The sequence below is a fragment of the Homo sapiens genome, chromosome 15, assembly GCF_000001405.40.
Source record: "Homo sapiens chromosome 15, GRCh38.p14 Primary Assembly".
Lineage (NCBI taxonomy): Eukaryota > Metazoa > Chordata > Mammalia > Primates > Hominidae > Homo > Homo sapiens.
The window spans coordinates 83,011,663-83,029,561 of NC_000015.10; the positions used below are offsets into that span (position 1 = coordinate 83,011,663).

General features: G+C 40.9%; 1 protein-coding gene and 1 long non-coding RNA gene across 4 annotated transcripts in view, besides 1 other annotated feature; one reads left to right on the forward strand and one right to left on the reverse strand.

Annotated features, from left to right (window-relative positions):
- Positions 79 to 17,899, forward strand: part of LOC124903542 (uncharacterized) — a 50,105-nt gene continuing 32,284 nt past the window's right edge. Inside the window, exon 1 of the long non-coding RNA XR_007064742.1 lies at positions 79 to 1,397. This is a non-coding gene — a long non-coding RNA (uncharacterized LOC124903542). The remainder of the gene's footprint in view (positions 1,398 to 17,899) is intronic.
- Positions 155 to 214: an enhancer, noted in NCBI's record as "active region_9968". NCBI's record gives its function as "activates an Ori minimal core promoter by ATAC-STARR-seq in GM12878 lymphoblastoid cells {active_cell/tissue: GM12878}" and the evidence as "EXISTENCE:reporter gene assay evidence [ECO:0000049][PMID:35858748]".
- Positions 4,761 to 17,899, reverse strand: part of BTBD1 (BTB domain containing 1) — a 50,830-nt gene continuing 37,691 nt past the window's right edge. The window contains exons 6-8 of one of the 3 annotated variants that reach the window (NM_025238.4): positions 9,013 to 9,100; positions 7,045 to 7,191; positions 4,761 to 6,563 (exon numbers count right to left, since the gene is read on the reverse strand). In NM_025238.4, the coding sequence (NP_079514.1) occupies positions 6,405 to 6,563; positions 7,045 to 7,191; positions 9,013 to 9,100 (394 nt within the window). In that variant the 3' untranslated portion in view covers positions 4,761 to 6,404. Of the gene's footprint in view, positions 6,564 to 7,044; positions 7,192 to 9,012; positions 9,101 to 16,953; positions 17,067 to 17,899 lie in introns of those variants that run through there. The other 2 variants (NM_001011885.2, XR_007064459.1) reach the window with 2 other exon arrangements.

Consider the following 17,899-nt stretch of genomic DNA (forward strand, 5'->3'; position numbering starts at 1 on the left):
GAGCGGCCCCACCGCCCGGCGCATCCGCTCTGGCCAGAGGGCGACACCTTAAGGCCGGCGGGAGCGAGTCTCGTGGCCGCAGAACATGCGCGAGTCTCTTTTGTTCTGGAACGGGCCGAGCCCCAGGAAGTGGAGCTGCGGAGCTGAGGCCTCACCGTGTCTTGGCCCACCCTGCTCAGCTGATAGGAAGGTGTGTCACCTCTTTCCTAATCGGGGAAAGAAAGGTATTGTCACTTCTCAGAATTGGAGAGCGCGGCAAGGAGTGCACAGGGCCAGGTGTCTTCTCGCTCCCACAGCCAAGCAGCAGATGCAGAGTCCCACGCGCTGCCTGTGGCCATCAAGTCGATATAGAGCCTCGTGGCGGCTTGGCCCTTGTGAATCTTCCACGTATCGATGGCGCACCTACCTTGTGCCAGGCGCAGCGGATCCCACAATGTAAAAGAAGAGGAAATACACTGCGACATGTGATATGGAGAGACATGAAACAAATCAGCAGAGGCAAGATCATGGAGTCACTGAAGGCTTTCAAGCAAGGGATTATTAGCAGCCCAATTTGCTGGGTTTTAGAAAGACACCGGCTGCACTGTGGCCGACAGAGGAAAAGCCAGAGACAGGGAGATCCGCCCCCTAAATGGGAGAGGGTGGCCTGAACTAGAGTAACCGCAGGGAGGGTGGAGCGCTGATCATTTCAAGGATCTTCAGGAACTGAAATGATCAGAACTTGGGAATGACTGCATGTGCGAATAAGGGGGAAAAGTCAAGGAAATGCCCAGGTTTGGGGCCCAAGGAACAGGTTTGGGAGGCCGAGGTGAGGAGTTCAGCTTTGGACATAATGAGTTTGAGATGCCCACAGGACATCCAAATACAAATGTTAAAGGGGTAACTGAATATATGTGACTGGAGTTTGCGAAATCAAGGCTGGTGATAGAGATTCTGGAATCTTCTGAAAGCAGATGGCAATTGAAGCTATGGAAATGGATGAGAGAGTGTGTAAAGAGCACGAGGGCCCAGGTTAGAACAGCAAGGGCAGGTAGAGAAGTCACCAAAGGACACTGACCAGGTAGGAGTACGGTGTAACGGCAGCTAAAGAAGGGCGCTTCAAGAGGGAACATCAACAGTGATGAACACTCTGGAGAGAACATGTCACATGTAACGACTGAGAAGTGGCCACAAGATTTAGAAATCAGGGTGGTGGTGGTGACCCGGGCTACAGCAGTTTTAGTGGAGAGAAGGAAATGGAGATAATTGTAGAGAATAATCCAGTGACTTCACTGTGAAGGAGCAATTGGTATCTGGAGGGGCACATGACATTCAGAGACTTATTTTTATCATATTTGAAGATTGGTAGGAAAGAGCCAGGAGAAGAGAGGTTACAGCAGAGGACGGTTCCTGAAGAGGTAGGATCTGAGCTCAAGTAGAGATTGAGTTCTCTACAGGAGGCCTTAGACACTCCTTCCTTCCTAAGGGAAAGCTTAGGTGGACATGTAGCTGTGTTTGTAGGTTTGGTGATGGGAGGTGGAATTTCTTTCATTAACTAAGGCGGGGGAGGTGTTGAAGGTATATTGGGACTCTTGAGAATGGCAAAGGGCTGACTATTGCAACTCACCCAGCGGTAGACAGTTAAGGGAGACCGTGAAATCATCTATGATCCCAATCTATAGTTACCTTATTTTATTTTTGTTTATTTTTGAGACAGGGGGATGGGAAGAGCCTGTCGCCCAGGCTGGAGTGCAGTGGCGGGATCTCGGCTCACTGCAACCTCCGCCTCCTAGGTTCAAGCAATTCTCCCTGCCTCAGCCTCCAGAGTAGCTGGGACTACAGGCGCGCGCCACCACACCCATTTTTTGTATTTTTAGTAGAGACGGGCGTTTCGCCATTTCGCCCAGGCTGGTCTCGAACTCCTGAGCTCAGGCAATCCACCCACTTCGGCCTCCCAAAGTGCTAGGATTACAGGCGTGAGCTAGCGCCTGGCCTATAGTTACGTTACTTTAGATGCCTGGATTCACCAGCTAAGAAGTTTTTTTTTTAATTAAATTTTTTTTTGGCCCCAGTGCTACTACCAAAGCAGTCAGGAAGTTGAAGATAAGGCAGACAACTGGATTGATTCAGGTATATTTAAGTGGGTTGAGGGTTATTGATGAAATGGTTAAAGTTATTAAAGACCAAAGGTGGAGAGGGGTTGAGGGAGACCAAAAGTAGAGTCTAACTGGGTAAAGAAGGAAGTAAAGAAGAAAAGAACAGAGAGGACAAGGGGCTGCAGTCTTAGGTTCAATAACGGGTGTAACTGGAATGTGAGTGAGAGCTGGAAGAAACACCAAAGGTTGTGGCCAGAGAGTGGGATGTCTGAATTTCCTATTTCAGATGTAGAGCAATTCCACATCATGATAGGGTATATGGTGTGGCCATGATAAGGAATGGTGAAGGTTGCTGGAGGTAAAGAAGAAACTGGAAACCTAGGTGTAGCTGGGTTGTCCACATGGCCACTGAGGCCATGCAGTATAAAGGCTTGAGCAGAAGAAAGTGAGCCAGGTGTTAAACCAAAACCATATTTCCCTTCTTTGAAATCAGTTAAGAATTGAGGCACAAAAGCTGAACCAGCATTATATAGCAGTCATTTGTAGAATCTGCTTTGGGTGAAGTCACGTCAGCCTCAATTAGAGGTTTGGCAGTTGTCATGGAAATAAAGGGGACGTCTGTGAAGGTGAGTTACGATGGCATCTGGCTAGATGGGTGAGGAGAGCTAAGAGGTGCTCTGCTGTGAACCATTCAGCCTTTCCCACACGTGACTCAGGAGTAGGGGATATGAGGACTTCATTGCACCAGTGGGGAGGAGAAAAGCCATCCGCCCCATGTGCCACCAAACTGTGCACCTGACTTGTTGCTCCTGCCCACATCCCTGCCTCCTGAAGGGAGAGAGAGGCAGAGTGGGAAGACATATTGCCTAATGGTGAGGGAAAACACAGGGACTGATTCAAATGGCAGGAAACCCCTTGTAAATGTTTGTGGTGGTTCACATTTTATTGAGACAGGATCTCGCCATGTTGCTCAGGCTGGTCTCAAGCTCTTGGATTCAAGCAATGCTCCTGCCTCAGCTTCCTCAGTAGCTGCGCAACTACAGGCCTCATTTTATCTTGTTTTAAATAGAGTCCCACTTAAAAACTCGCAATGGAGAAACAGGAAAAGGGATTTTTAAAAGCATATAAACTAGGTGTATGTGAATAAATACACAGTGTAGCTCTGGGGCTGGTTGTTGGGGCTGGGATTGCGATGGTACCATCCTTCTTGTGAAGGATGTGTTTTTTCTAATTGGGGGATAATTCCAGGTCTCGAATCTGGATGACTAGAACAGGAAGTAGAAAGTGGTTTGAAGAAGCACTAAAAAGTGGGACAATGTTTCAAACACATTGCGCATATCACATTGAAGACCTTGCTCTCTTTAATGTCTTACAAGTTTATTCCCAGGTTAAAAATAATTTAAAAAAAAAACTAGTTACTACTATCAATACTCTGATAATGCAAGTAATCTCGATTTGTTGGGTAGATACTGGAATATCACACTTTCTTAAAATAGTATATTTTACAGTAAATATAGATTAGTCAAGTATCTTTCTGGGTCTCAATGCAAAGTTTGAGAATAGTGACATGTTATTTTTGGACCCAGCAAAATATTTTCTCAACTCTGTAAATGGGTTTAAATTCCACCTCCCACCACTTAATAAACTTTTTTTTTCCTGCCCCGACAGGATCTTGCTTTATCGCCCAGGCTGGAGTACAGTGGTGCAATCATAACTCACTGTAATCTTGGACCCCTGGGCTCAAGCAATCCTCCCCTCAACCTCCCAAGCAGCTACAACTATAGGCACGTGCCACCACAACCCAGCTAATTTTCTTATTTTTCAGAGACAGGGTCTATGTTGCCCAGGCTGGTCTTGAACTCCTGGCCTCAAGTGATCCTTCTGTCTCAGCCTCTCAAAGTGCTGGGATTACAGGTGTGAGCCACCGTGCCCAGCCTAGCTGACCTTTTAATTTCTTTGCCTGTGAAATGGGTACTTCCCTCATACTGATGCTGTGAGAAACAAGTAAGAATGTAGTAAAGTACTCATTGCAGAGCCTAGTAGTCACTTGGGTAGTTATTAATAAACAGCTGTAAGATGATAGTCACACTCTTAACAGTAAATAAGATTATTTATTGGATTCTCCCACATTCAACCTCCACCTCCTGATTAGAACAGGAGAAAAACCTGAGGCCACAAGAAATGATCAAGAAACAAAAGGCTGCGGCAGTTATCACTGCAGTTCCTATGAACTGGTTTAAATCAGCAATGAGGTATTTGTATTTTGTATTGCATTACTCCCATTAAGTTAAACCTCAATTAACTAGAACCTTTGTTCCAAAATGGTGTTGACAGCCAGGCGTGGTGGCTCACGCCTGTAATCAATCCCAGCACTCTGGGAGGCCAAGGCAGCTGAGGTCAGGAGTTCGAGACCAGCCTGGCCAACATAGTGAAACCCCATCTCTACTAAAAATACAAAAATTAGCTGGGCGTGGTGGTGGGCACCTGTAATCCCAGCTACTCTGGAGGCTGAGGCCGCATAATAGCTTGAATCCAGGAGGTGGAGGATGCAGTGAGCCGAGATTGCACCACTGCCCTCCAGCCTTGGCAACAGAGCGAGGCTTCATCTCAAAAAACAAACAAAAAACAAATCAAAATTCTGTTTATATTCACTTTTAGAAGAAAAAGGCAAATGACATAAAAGAGTTTTTTTTATATATATATATATTTATTTATTTTTAAAAACTCCAGGGGATGTCCCAAAGTTAGTAAACAGTTCTGTTTCTTGTCCCTTTTATGGCTGCATGCAGTTTCAATTGTTCAGTACAACAGATGAGGCATTTAAAAGGTCTCCAACGTCAAGAAACACTAACTCATCTCTGGCATATCATATTTTTTAAGGCAGAAGTATTTTCTGTAATGGTTACTACAGAGTGTTTACTGGTTAATTTTTAGTTAACCAGAACCACACATCCCATAGATAATTCCATTTAACTGAGGTTTATATCCGTAAGAGCATTACCATAGAAAAATTTCCCTTTAGCAATTTCAAGAGACCTCAGCCACCAATATACCTACCTTCTTTACAATATAAAGTGAAATATTACTTTAGATGAAAATTTTTTGTATCTTACTTAGAAAAAATTAAGTTGATATTTAAAAGAATTTTGATTTTTAATCACCTTCCACAACGATTTGATATACCTTAAACTCCACTTTCATTTTTTATAAGAGAATCACTTTCAAGGGAAAAAAATGGATGTTACTATATTTTAAAATCTGCTTTATAAAAAAGTGTATAAATATCAATCTGCCAGATATACTTCCTATCCCCAACACAGCTGTAACACTGACTAATGGGGTCATGACCATGAAGCAAATTTTACTTCCTAAATAGAAATGTGTAGGTGGCAGAAAGCGTATTTTTCAGCAGGAGTGATTCTGTTGGATCTCTTTACAATGTCAGAGCAGTTGTTAGAAATGTTAGTATTTTATTCGGTTTCTTGCTGTGAAGGATTATCACAATGTTGAAGTGATGGCTGTTCACCCAGTCGTCATCACCGTCATCATCTCAATCTTGGGAATCATCAGCAGTGTCCCCCACACAGAGAGACAGGTATAGTGGTGCAGTTTAGTGACAGGGAATCCAGTCTTAGATCCTGTTTATATCACATTTTTGTGAATTTACACAAAATTCCATTTATAGCTTTAAAACTGTACTACATAACACATTACTATACTACTACAAAATATCCTTCTCTATAAATGCACTGAATATTTTCTTGGGCATTTTATTAGGCCTTTTTTAGCATTATTACAAATGCTAACAACAAGATACTTCAAACCACCAAATATAAAGTCAGCTTCTTAATTTTCTGAAATTTAGTTATTTGAGTTAATAAGAATTCTGTAGGAATACTGACCCATCTCTTTTCATCCAACCTTCAAAATAGTTAAGCCTATTTGCCCATCTCACCTAACCTTCAAAATAGTTAAAACAAAAACAAACCCAAACTAGCTATATATAACAAGAATCTTTCAATTCCCAAACTATTGAAAGACCCTAAGTCAGCCAATCTATGAAATTATACAAGATGAAGGTGAAAAAGCTGTGCTTTTTTTTAAACCATTAAACCCAGTTCTTTTCTCTTAAAGTTGTAAGAAAATGGAAAATCTGTTTTTAAATCATGCAAAGATTTAAATAAGCATTTTTCTATCTGCTCTAAGAAACTGTTTCTTATCTTACAATTTTAAATATTCATAACACTCAAACTACTTTTTTGTGGCCATTTATGTTTTTGACACTAGATTGTATGGTATTATTTAGCCAAGATGTATTATAATGCTAAATTATGTATAAAATATGATTTCTGGAATTTGTCCATCTTCTATTGAAGTGCCATTATTATTGCCAGGGGAACTAAAAAAGAAAAAAACAGTCTTGCTTGCAGCAGGTGTCTCATGCACTACTTTCTTCAATCCTTTTGTGCCATAGTGGGAATCTGGACCCTAAATGAGAACAAAAGGTTCCTTAGTAATTTTCATTTAATAAGCACTCAGTTTAATGTGGTGTTTTAATTAGATTAATGTTCCATTATATTTCACTATCATTCCTATATAAAATTTTATGCTGTCATTTAGAGAAAAATGAAGTTTTTACCAAAAAACTAATTAATGAATAAAAATACTGAATGTACAGCCCAGCTATTAGAGAATAGTGAAAAGATTTTACAAAAATAACTTTTATTTTCTGCCAAACATTCAACTGCTTACTGAAACAAAGGGCTACTTCTTAAGAAGAGCTATTTCTTTCAGAACAGAGCTGTGGGGAGAAGTACTTCTTTTCGGAAGGCAGTGGAATATTTTAGCTCCCAGCTTCTTTTCCCCCCTCTTTATAAATGGCTCAGCTGTCAGTGACTCTCAGCTTCTAAAACACACATTCTGCAACATTCAAGAGGAAACCATCTGGAACATAGTGCATGACTCTTACTTTGAGTGTTGCACATGCTGTGTAGCACACATTGGGCAGGATCTCTATGGGTTCCTTGAACATGACCCTGAATGTGTTAGCTGTCCCATCACAACTAAAGCCGGTATCATTCTGTCCCAGGGTTTGCTTTTTCTCATATTCAATGATCTGTAATTTTTAAGAGACAAGTTACATTTAAGTTAAACCAAATAAAGCAAACTATAGAAAATAATATAAAGCCCTTAGCAATGTGTGCGTGTGTGTTTTGAGACAGACTCTCACTCTGTTGCCTAGCCTTGGGGGTGGGGGGGTGGGGGGTGGTGTGTGTGTGTGTGTGTTTGAGACAGACTCTCTCACTCTGTTGGTGGGTGTGTGTGTGTGTGTGTTTTTGAGACAGACTCTCTCACTCTGTTGCCTAGCCTGGGGTGCAGTGTTGGGGTCTCGGCTCACTGAAACCTCCACTTCCCAAGCTGAAGCAATTTTCGTGCCTCAGCCTCCTGAGTAGCTGGGATTACAGATGTGCGCGACCACACCTGGCTAATTTTTTTGTATTTTTAGTAGAGACAGGGTTTCATCATGTTGGCCAGGCTGATCTCCAACTCTTGGTCTCAAGCGATCTGCCCACCTCAGCCTCCCAAAGTGCTGGTGTGAGCCACTGCGCCCAGCCCTAATTTTTCATTTTTTTTGTAGAGATGGGATCGTGTTCTGTTGCCCAGGCTGGTCTGGAACTCCTGGGCTCAAGCAATCCTTCCACATCGGCCTCCCAAAGTACTGGGATTATAGATCTGAGCCACTGCGCCCAGACTGTTTCTATTATTTTACTCACAGTATTTATACTTCATAATTTTAATGTACCTATAATCCTGATGCCCTCCCACAGTTTGTACACAAGAAGCCTGGTGTCTTTTTTTTTTTTTTTTTGAGACGGAGTCTCACTCTGTAGCCCTGGCTGGAAGGCAGTGGCATGACCTTGGCTCACTGCAACATCTGCCTCCCAGGTCCCAGTTCAAGCAATTCTCCTATCTCAGCCTCCCGAGTAGCTGGGATTACAGGCATGCACCACCATGCCCAGCTAATTTTTTTGTATTTTTAGTAGAGACAGGGTTTCACCATGTTGGCCAGGCTGGTCTCAAACTCCTGACCTCGTGATCCACCTTCCTTGGCCTCCCAAAGTGCTAGGAGGCCGAGGCAGGAGAATTGTGTGAACCCGGGAGGCGGAGCTTGCAATGAGCCAAGATCGCGCCACTGCACTCCAGCCTGGGCAACAGAGCAAGACTCCATCTCAAAAAAAAAAAAAAAAAAAAAAAAAAAGAAGCAGGGGCCTAATGCCTGTAATCCCAATGCCTTGGGAGGCCAAGGCAGGAAGATCACTTGAGCCCTGGAGTTCAAGACCACCCTGGGCAACACAGCGAGACAAAAAAAAAAAGAAAGAAAAATTAGTTGGGCATGGTGGCACATACCTGTGGTCCTAGCTACTTGGGAGGCTGAGGTGGGAGGATTGCTTGAGCCTGGGTGATTAAGGCTGAAGTGAGCTGTGATCGCACCACTGCTCTTCAGCCTGGGCGACCAAGTGAGACCCTGTCTCAAAAAAAAGTAACCAAGAATAAAGCAGGGTCTGCTCAGCCCCTTGGAAGTCACAGGATGCTCACACCAGTTACAAGAAATTTAGTTTCAGTCCTAGAGTTGAAAGGGCCATGAAAAAGGCAGGAGGATGTTTTAAGACTGCACAGCAGGAAGTACTAATAGAAGGGATTCCTGGACAAAGAAGAGCTCCTTATATGCTACTGCTTTTGTGAAGGACCCCAATTTTCTGCAACCAGACTTTTTAGATCAACTCTAAAACAGAACTCTTTATGCTTACAATGCTACTAAGGGGCCTTCTGATTGCTTTGACAATTATATTGAAATTTGGATTCTGTCAAAACAATATCTTAAAGTTACCTGTTTGTGTTATTTCAAAATGATATATGGTGGGGGAGGAAACTGTACCTGTATATTCACTTGATAATCTGTAGGGCCATGAATAGATCCATACAAGCCAAATCCAACTATAGAGATCCTTCTATTAACTGTGAATCTGAGAGAAAGAAGCCAAAAATAAAATATAATTAATCCCATGTGTTCATATTCTGAAGGGTTATAATTTTTTTTAAGTGTAACCTGGAACATCCAGTTTTGCTTATAAAAAGGAAAACAAATTAGATATCCTTGGAAATGTCATCTGTTTGCTTACCAAAAAGCTTTCTAGAGCAGATTTGAACTTAAGAGGAACCTAAGAATTGGTTTTGTAAAAGAATTTAACCTAAATACCCACTTTTGTTGTAATGATAATTTTAGTGCTATACGAGTCCAAATATTTGTACATCTTTTTCATGAACGCAGACATCTCAGCCATTAGGACTGAAGCCCAGCATCTCAAACTACGACAATTATCAATTCAACAAATACTTACTAAGGGCTTATCATATTTAGGTACTAGGCTTGGCACTGCGGAAGTAATGGTCAACAAGACAGTTTCTACCTGCATTGTGCATACAGTCTAATGGAGGACACTGATAATGCAAGAAAGGAATAAATAAATAATTACAAATTGTAACAAGAGCTGTGAAGGAAGTAGGCTACTCTAACAGAATACTGGTAGCAGAGGGATGGGACAGGATTCGAATGCAGTTTCCTAACTAGAATAATTAACAAGTCCAGTTTGGTCATAATAGTTAAGAAATATTGACCCATCTTACTCCATTTTGTAAATGAATAAAAACTGACATTAAATACATATGGAACTGAGGCTGGGTGTGGTGGCTCACACTGCAATCCCAGCACTTTGGGAGGCTGAGCCAGGTGGATTACCTGAGGTCAGGAGTTTCAGACCAGCCTGGCCAACATGGCAAATCCCTGTCTTTACTAAAAATATAACAGTTAGCTGGGCATGATAGCAGGCACCTGTAATCCCAGCTACTAGAGAAACTGAGGCAGGAGAATCGTTTGAACCTGGGAGAAGGAAGCTGCAGGTGACCCGGCACTCCATCCTGGGTGACAGAGCGAGACTCCTTCTCAAATAATAATAATAATAATAATAATAATACATATGGAACTAAAAGCCTGTAAAATCTGACATAATTATAATGTCTTACATTGCAAAATTACATTGAGTAACTCTCAACATTGTCAGCAACACCTTCAATTATTAGTAATACTAACTCATCAATACCACTTCATGAGTACTTCCTAGTGTGCCAGGCACTGAACTTCAGTTCTTTACAGAATTATTTCCTTTAGTCATCGTAACAGCCCTATAAGCTAGATAACAGTACTATTTTGAACATCTGGTACAGTAAGATCACCTTAAACGCTTACAAACATGTAATTTTTTTTAAAGAGATGGAGTCTTGCTCTATTGCCGAGGCTGGGGTACAGTGGTACAATCATGGCTCACCACAGGCTTGAACTCCTGGGCTCAAGTGATCCTTCCACCTCAGCCTCCCAAGTAGCTGGGCTGCAGACACACTCCACCATTCCTTGCTAGTTTAATTTTTTTTTTTTTTTTTTTTACAGATGGAGTCTAACTAAGTTGCCCAGGCTGGTCTAGAACTGGTCTCAGATGATACTCCCAACTCATTGTCCTGAGTTGCTGGGATTATACCCATGAGCTACCACTCCTGGCTCTAAAATATGTTATTTATAATTTTTTATTATAAAAAAGTAGGGCAGGCACAGTGCCTCATGACTGTAACCCAGCACTTTGGGAGGCTGAGGTGGGTGGATCACCTGAGGTCAGGAGTTCGAGACCAGCCTGGCCAACATGGTGAAGCCTCACCTCTACTAAAAATACAAAATTAGCCAGGCATGGTGGCACACCCCTGTAATCCCAGCTATTCGGGAGGCTGAGGCAGGAGAATTGCTTAGAACCCGGGAGGCGGAGGTTGCAGTGAGCTGAGATGGTGCCAGCCTGGGCAACAGAGCGGGACTCCATCTCAAAAAGAAAAAAAAAAAATAGACCAGGCACAGTGGCTCACGCCTGTAATCCCAGCACTTTGGGAGGCTGAGGCAGGTGGATCATGAGGTCAGGGGATCGAGACCATTCTGGCCAACATGGTGAAACCCTGTCTTTACTAAAAATACAAAAATTAACTGAGTGTGGTGGTGTGCACCGTAGTCCCAGCTACTCAGGAGGCTGAAGCAGGAGAATCGCTTGAACCTGGAGGCAGAGATTGCAGTGAGCCAAGACTGCACCACTGCACTCCAGCCTGGGCAACAGAGCGAGACTCCACCTCAATCAATAAATAAATAATACATTGTGCTTAAAAAAAAACAGAAAATGCAGCTAAATAAGAGGAAAATTTTAAAGCTTCCATAAATCCAGACAGCCCTTGCTAACCCCTTACAATTTTTAATCCTTTATATTTCTTTTTCAGTTACATTTCTATGAACATATATGTAATTTAAAAAATCATATCAGAATATATATATATTTGTAACCTCTTTTTCATGTAAAATGGTTAAAAAAACTACCAATTCACTATATTTAACTAATGCCTTGTTGGATAATCTAGATTATTTGCAGTTTTTGTTATTATATAATAATGCCATGAGGAACAATCCTATAGCTAAATCATTTTATGAAGCCTTAATTATTTTCCTTGGAATAAATTCCTAGAACTGCTGGTGAAAATAAAAGGCACATTCTTTAAAAAATTTTTATTTTTTTTATTTAGACAGGGTCTTGCTCTGTCACCCGAACTGGAGAGCAGTGGTGCAATCATGGCTCACTGCAGCCTCAACCTCTTGGGCTCAGGCGACCCTCCTGCCTCAGCCTCCTGAGTATCTGGGACCACAGGTGCATGCCACTACATGCTGCTAATTTTTTAAAAATTATTATTTGTAGATGCGGGGTCTCACTATGTTGCCAAGGCTGATCTTGAACTCCTGGGCTCAAGTAAGTGATCCTCCTGCCTTGGCCTCCCAAAATGTTTTGATTACAGGTGTGAGCCACCACACCCAGTCAAAAGGCACAGTCTTAAGGCTTTAGGTAAACATTGTCAAGTTGCTTTCTGGAAAGATAACATTTTATACCCCATAAGGTATAACGATCATTTTTCTCTCACTCTTATCAACCAGGAATATTTTTCATTTTCTTTTGCCTTTGAGAAACTGATAGTGACAAACTCCATTTATATTTTGATTATTACTGTTACTATTTGACACAGGATCTCACTTTGTCAACCAGTCTGGAGTGCAATGGCACGATCTCGGCTCATTGCAGCCTCAACCTCCCAGGTTCAAGCGATCCTCCCAACTCAGCCCCCACAAGTAGCTGGGACTACAGGCACACGCTACCATGCTCAGCTAATTTTTATATTTTTTTGTAGAGATGGGGGTTTCACCATGTTGCCCAGGCTGGTCTGGAACTCCTGAGCGCAACAGATCCACCCGCCTCAGCCTCCCAAAGTGCGTGGATTTCAGGTGTGACTCACCATGCCCAGCCTATTTATTTGATTATTAATGAGGTAAAACATTTGCTCATATGCTTACTGCCCACTGGATTTTCTCTCTAATGAAATACCCAACTCATGTTCTTTTCTCATTTTTCTCTACAGATGTGTTTGTCTTTTTAATGTAGATTCAAAAGATCACATTATATAGAGATGATAGTTATTTATGCTTTGTTGGTAATATCCACTGTAATAAGTTTCCCATTTGTCACTCATCTTTTAACTTTATGGTGATTTTGTACTTAAAACTTTTCAATTATCTGTTTTCAAAATTATGATACATGCCAAGTTTAGAGAGGTCTACCTCATCCTCATAGTACATAAACATTCACCTGTTCCAGCACTTTCATGGTTTCAGTTTTGTTTAATGTTAAAATTTTAATTTACATCAATACAGGTACATGGGATCAGTAAGGATCTAACTTAATTTTCCCAGTGGTTAATCCTTCCCTCACCTTTATCATATTCTTTTTTGTTTTTGAGACAGGGTTTTGCTCTGTTGCCCAGGCTGGAGTGCAGTGGTGAGATCACAGCCTCCTTCCTCAGCCTCTTAAGTAGCTGAGATTACAGGTGCATGCCACCATGCTGAATTTTTGAATTTTTTTGTAGAGATGGAGTTTCACCATGTTGTGCAGGCTGCTCTCAAACCCCTGGGCTCAAGTGAGCCACCCACTTCAGCCTCCCAAAGTGCTGGGATTACAGGCGTGAGCCAGTACACCTGGCCATATCATTTTCTAAATGTTCATTTATGTTAGGTTAGTTTCTGACATCTATAGTCTGTTCCATACAACACTAACTTCCTATAGCTTTACAATACTTTGTCTTGTCATCTGTATTACTCTTATTAAAAGAGAAACATATACTCTTCCAAATTAACTGTTAAGAATTTTGCCAGCCGGGTGTGGTTGCTCACACCTGTAATCCCAGTACTTTGAGAGGCTGGAGGTGGGCAGATCACCTGAGGTCAGGAGTTCATGACCAGCCTGACCAACATGGTGAAACCCAGTCTCTATTAAAAATACAAAAACTAGCCAGGCATGGTGGCAGACGCCTGTAATCCCAGCTACTCGGGAGGCTGAGGCAGGGAGAATAATTACTTGAACTCAGGAGGCGGAGGTTGCAGTGAGCCCAGATCTCACCATTGCACTCCAGCCTGGGCAACAAAACAAGACTCCATCACAAAAAAAAAAAAAAAAAAAAAAAGAATTTTGCCAAGCCATTCTCCACTACCTTAAAATAGTATGTGACTTCTGAAAGAAATTCTCTAACATACATAGGTTAATTTGGAAGACACTGTCCTTATTAAAGTCTGATTCTACTCAAACTTTTCCAGTTCTTCATAAAGCTAATGTACTTTATAGTTCTTACTGGGTTTAATCCTACTACTTAATATTATGTTACTGTTATGAATGGGATTATTCACAATACTACAGTAATATTCAACATATATAGTGATATATAAAATTACTACAATACAGTAACATATTGTAATAGTAACATAATACTCAAAATATTTAATGATATTTACTCAATTATAACTAAATTCTTTTACATTATAATTTTTTTGTGGTAAAGTTATGTACCATTTTAACCATTTTTTCTTTTTTTTTGAGATGGAGTCTCACTCTGTCACCCAGCCTGGAGTGCAGTGGCGTGGTCTTGGCTCACTGCCAGCTCCGCCTCCCGGGTTCACGCAATTCTCCTGTCTCAGCCTCCCGAGTAGCTGGGACTACAGGTGCCCACCACCACGCCCGGCTAATTTTTTGTATTCTTAGTAGAGACGGGGTTTCACCGTGTTAGCCAGGATGGTCTCGATCTCTTGACCTTGTGATCCGCCCGCCTCAGCCTCCCAAAGTGCTGGGATTACAGGCATGAGCCACCACGCCTGGCCCATTTTAACCATTTTTAAGTGTACAGTTCAATGGCACTAAATACATTCATATCATTGTACAACTGTCACCATTATTCATCTCTGTAACTGAATTTTGATGACATACAGGAACACCAATGGTTTTTAAATATACTTTTTATAAGTGGCCACTATTCTCTTTTATTGGTTCTAGTAGTTTTTTAGCTTGATACTGAGGTTACCTAGGTGGACCAGTTGTTCTCAAAACGAGTTCCACCCCCAAGGAGGCATACTCGATTTCACAAAGGTTTAGGGGGGCACTACTGGCAAGGAACTAGGGAAACTGGATTTCCTGAAATGCACAGAACAGTCTCCCATAACTCAATCAACTTTTAAGTGTCTTGCCAGAATTCATGTAGGTAAAAAATCTGTTTATAACTACAAGCCTTGAACCTCATTCCATTTTGTTTATAAACCAGATTTTTTAGTGCTTTTTTTTTTTTTTTTTTTTTTGAGACGGAGTTTTGCTCTTGTTGCCCAGGCTGGAGTGCAATGGTGCAATATTGGCTCACCACAACCTCCACCTCCCAGGTTCAAGCAATTCTCCTGCCTCAGCCTCCCAAGTAGCTGGTATTACAGGCATGTGCCCCCACACCTGGCTAATTTTGTATTTTTAGTAGAGACGGGGTTTCTCCATGTTGGTCAGACTGGTCTCGAGCTCCCGACCTGAGGTGATCCGCCCGCCTCGGCCTCCCAAAGTGTGGGGATTACAGGCATGAGCCACTGTGCCCAGCCTTTTAGTGCAATTTTAATATTCAGACTTTTACAAGAGGCAACTACCATATAAACAGAAGGAATATACAGTCAATTCTCATTATCTGTGGAAGTTATATTTAATATACAGAATTAGCAAATACTAAACCACTGCTCCTAGGGGAAATACGTGTGTGTGTGTGTGTGTGTGTGTATGTATGTATGTCTACATATACACACATATACACGCCTCGCATAGATTATAATCTTAAGTCCTAAAAACAATTCATCCAGCCAGGCGTGGTGGGTCACACCTGTAACCCAGCACTTTGGGAGGCCAATGCTGGTGAATCACCTGAGGTCAGGAGTTCGGGACCAGCCTGGCCAACATGGTGAAACCCCGTCTCTATTAAAAATACAAAATTAGCCAGGTGTGGTGGCACATGCCTGTAATCCCAGCTACCTGGGAGCCTGAGGCAGGAGAATCGCTTGAACCTGGGAGGTGGACGTTGCAGTGAGCCGGGATCGCACCACTGCACTCCAGCCTGGGCAACAAGAGCGAAACTCTATCTCAAAACAAACAAACAAACACCTCGTCCTAGTATATTCTATTTTCTTTATTCCACAAAAGAGAAAACAGAGTTTGGAAGTGTTAAGTGACTTGTCTGAGGCTGCCCCACTAAGAGGTGCCAGAGCTGGCCTTCAAGCCCCATTCAACCTGCCCAAGAGCCAGAGTTTCTTGCACTCCACTGCACTGCCCCTCCCCTTCTCCACCTCTGTAGGAGAGCTGAACCAGGAAAGTAGAGCCTTGCCTTGTTCAGCCACAGCTGGAAACGTGCTGGTCTGGCAACTAAAGTCTTTGCTGAAAACGATTAAGAAAGTGCCCCGAATATTGACTTTACAGGTTACAGATAAATTTCAGCCAGTAGGCAAGTTCAGAAATAGACACTATGAGTAGGACCAACTATATATACTCTTTTACCTGGAACCTTTAAAGAAAACGTAAGTGGCAGCAATGCTGCTCATGATATTTAAGACATAACACGCCTGTACTGTGCAGCTGAAACTGTCTCATCATGGTGATGCATATATGTACAGCAACTAACTACTTCAGTTTGCCTTCCAGTGTTGTCCTGCCCAAAGTCTATGTATTGAACTACATATTTTACTATCAATTACATTTATTCCCCTTTATATTATAACTAGATCACTTATCAATTAAAAAATGTATAAAGCATATTATCTATGAATTTTATTTCAGGTTAGTAAAGTGGGAATTACAAAATATTTATTAAAAAAAGAGAGAACTGGGTTTGATAGAGTTGTGAACTACTAATGTACATAATGCCATTAGCAAATAATCAATCAGAATTATAATAACACTGCTTTAAACAGCAAGGATATCTCTATCTTGAGGTTTCAATAGTTTATCATGTCAAACAAGTATTCTTCTAGGCCTAATCTAGTAAGAATTATATCTGGAAGGAAGGTGAAATTTTATCAAAAGCCTTTCTGACATCTATTGAAATTAAATTGTTTTTCTTCTTTGATCTGTTGTGAGAATTATACTAATACATTTCCTAACACTGAGCCATTCTTTCAATCTCCAAATAAACTCTGTTTGGTCATACAGTGTTATTCTTCGAAGGTACAGATTCAATATCCTAATGTTTTACACAAAATTTCTTCTTTATATTGAGATTGATCTAGAATTTTTTTTGTCTAGTCTGATGCCTATATAAGGGTTATGCTTCCTTCAATAATTAACCAAGTAGTACTTTATTCTTTTAATGCTCAAGGAAACTAACTGTTCCTTGAGGATTTGACAAAACTCACCTGTAAAAACCACCTTGTGAAGGGACAGTTCTTTGATAACTTTTAATTCCTTCCATGGTAATTGGTCTATTCAGGCTTTTCTTCTTCAGTCAATTTTGATAATTTATATTTGCCTATAAAATGATCCATTCCATCAACATGTTCAATTTATTAGCACAGAATAAACCCAGAATTAAAATAAAAATGTCAGCATATAATTATATTCCCATTTTTGCTTCTAAATGTGAATGTTTATTACCTTTGCCAGAGGTTTATTTATTTTATTGGTCTTTTAAAGGAACCAGCTTATGGATTTATGAATTCTACTATTTCTAATTCATTAATTTCTACATTTATCTATTTACTTTCTCTTTTCTTATAGTTCTTTTGCTATTTGTTTTCTAGCTACTTGGGCTGAATGCTTAAATCATTTATTTCTACTCTATTTACTACAAGTAGTTAATTATTACTTTTTCTTTGTGTGCAGCTTTGGCCTCATCCCATAATTTTTGCATATAGTTATTGTGAATTATTATTAAATAGTCTACAAGTACATTTTTAATTTCCATGTTAACTTAAGATTTATAATAGTCCCACATCCAACCAGATTTTTCTGTTTTAACAAACTTGTTAATTTCCAGTTTTATACTGAAGTGCTATTAAATAAATGAAAATCCAAAAGTCATGTTTTGTGAAAACCGGCACTGATTCTATTTTGACATTCAACCTAAAGAAACACAGTACAGCAAAGACAATTTCTTCAACAGGATTATACGCATGCATTTTTCAAGATTCTTGATTTTTTTCTCAAGGCTTTTATAAATGTATACTGAGATACTTTCCCTGCAACATCTATGCAAAGAAAAAACTCACACTAAACATAGTAAGGTTACATTTATTAATTGTAGCCCTAAGCCTGTAAAAATAACGTTTGATCAATTAAGGTCTAGAACTCAGCCCACTGGCA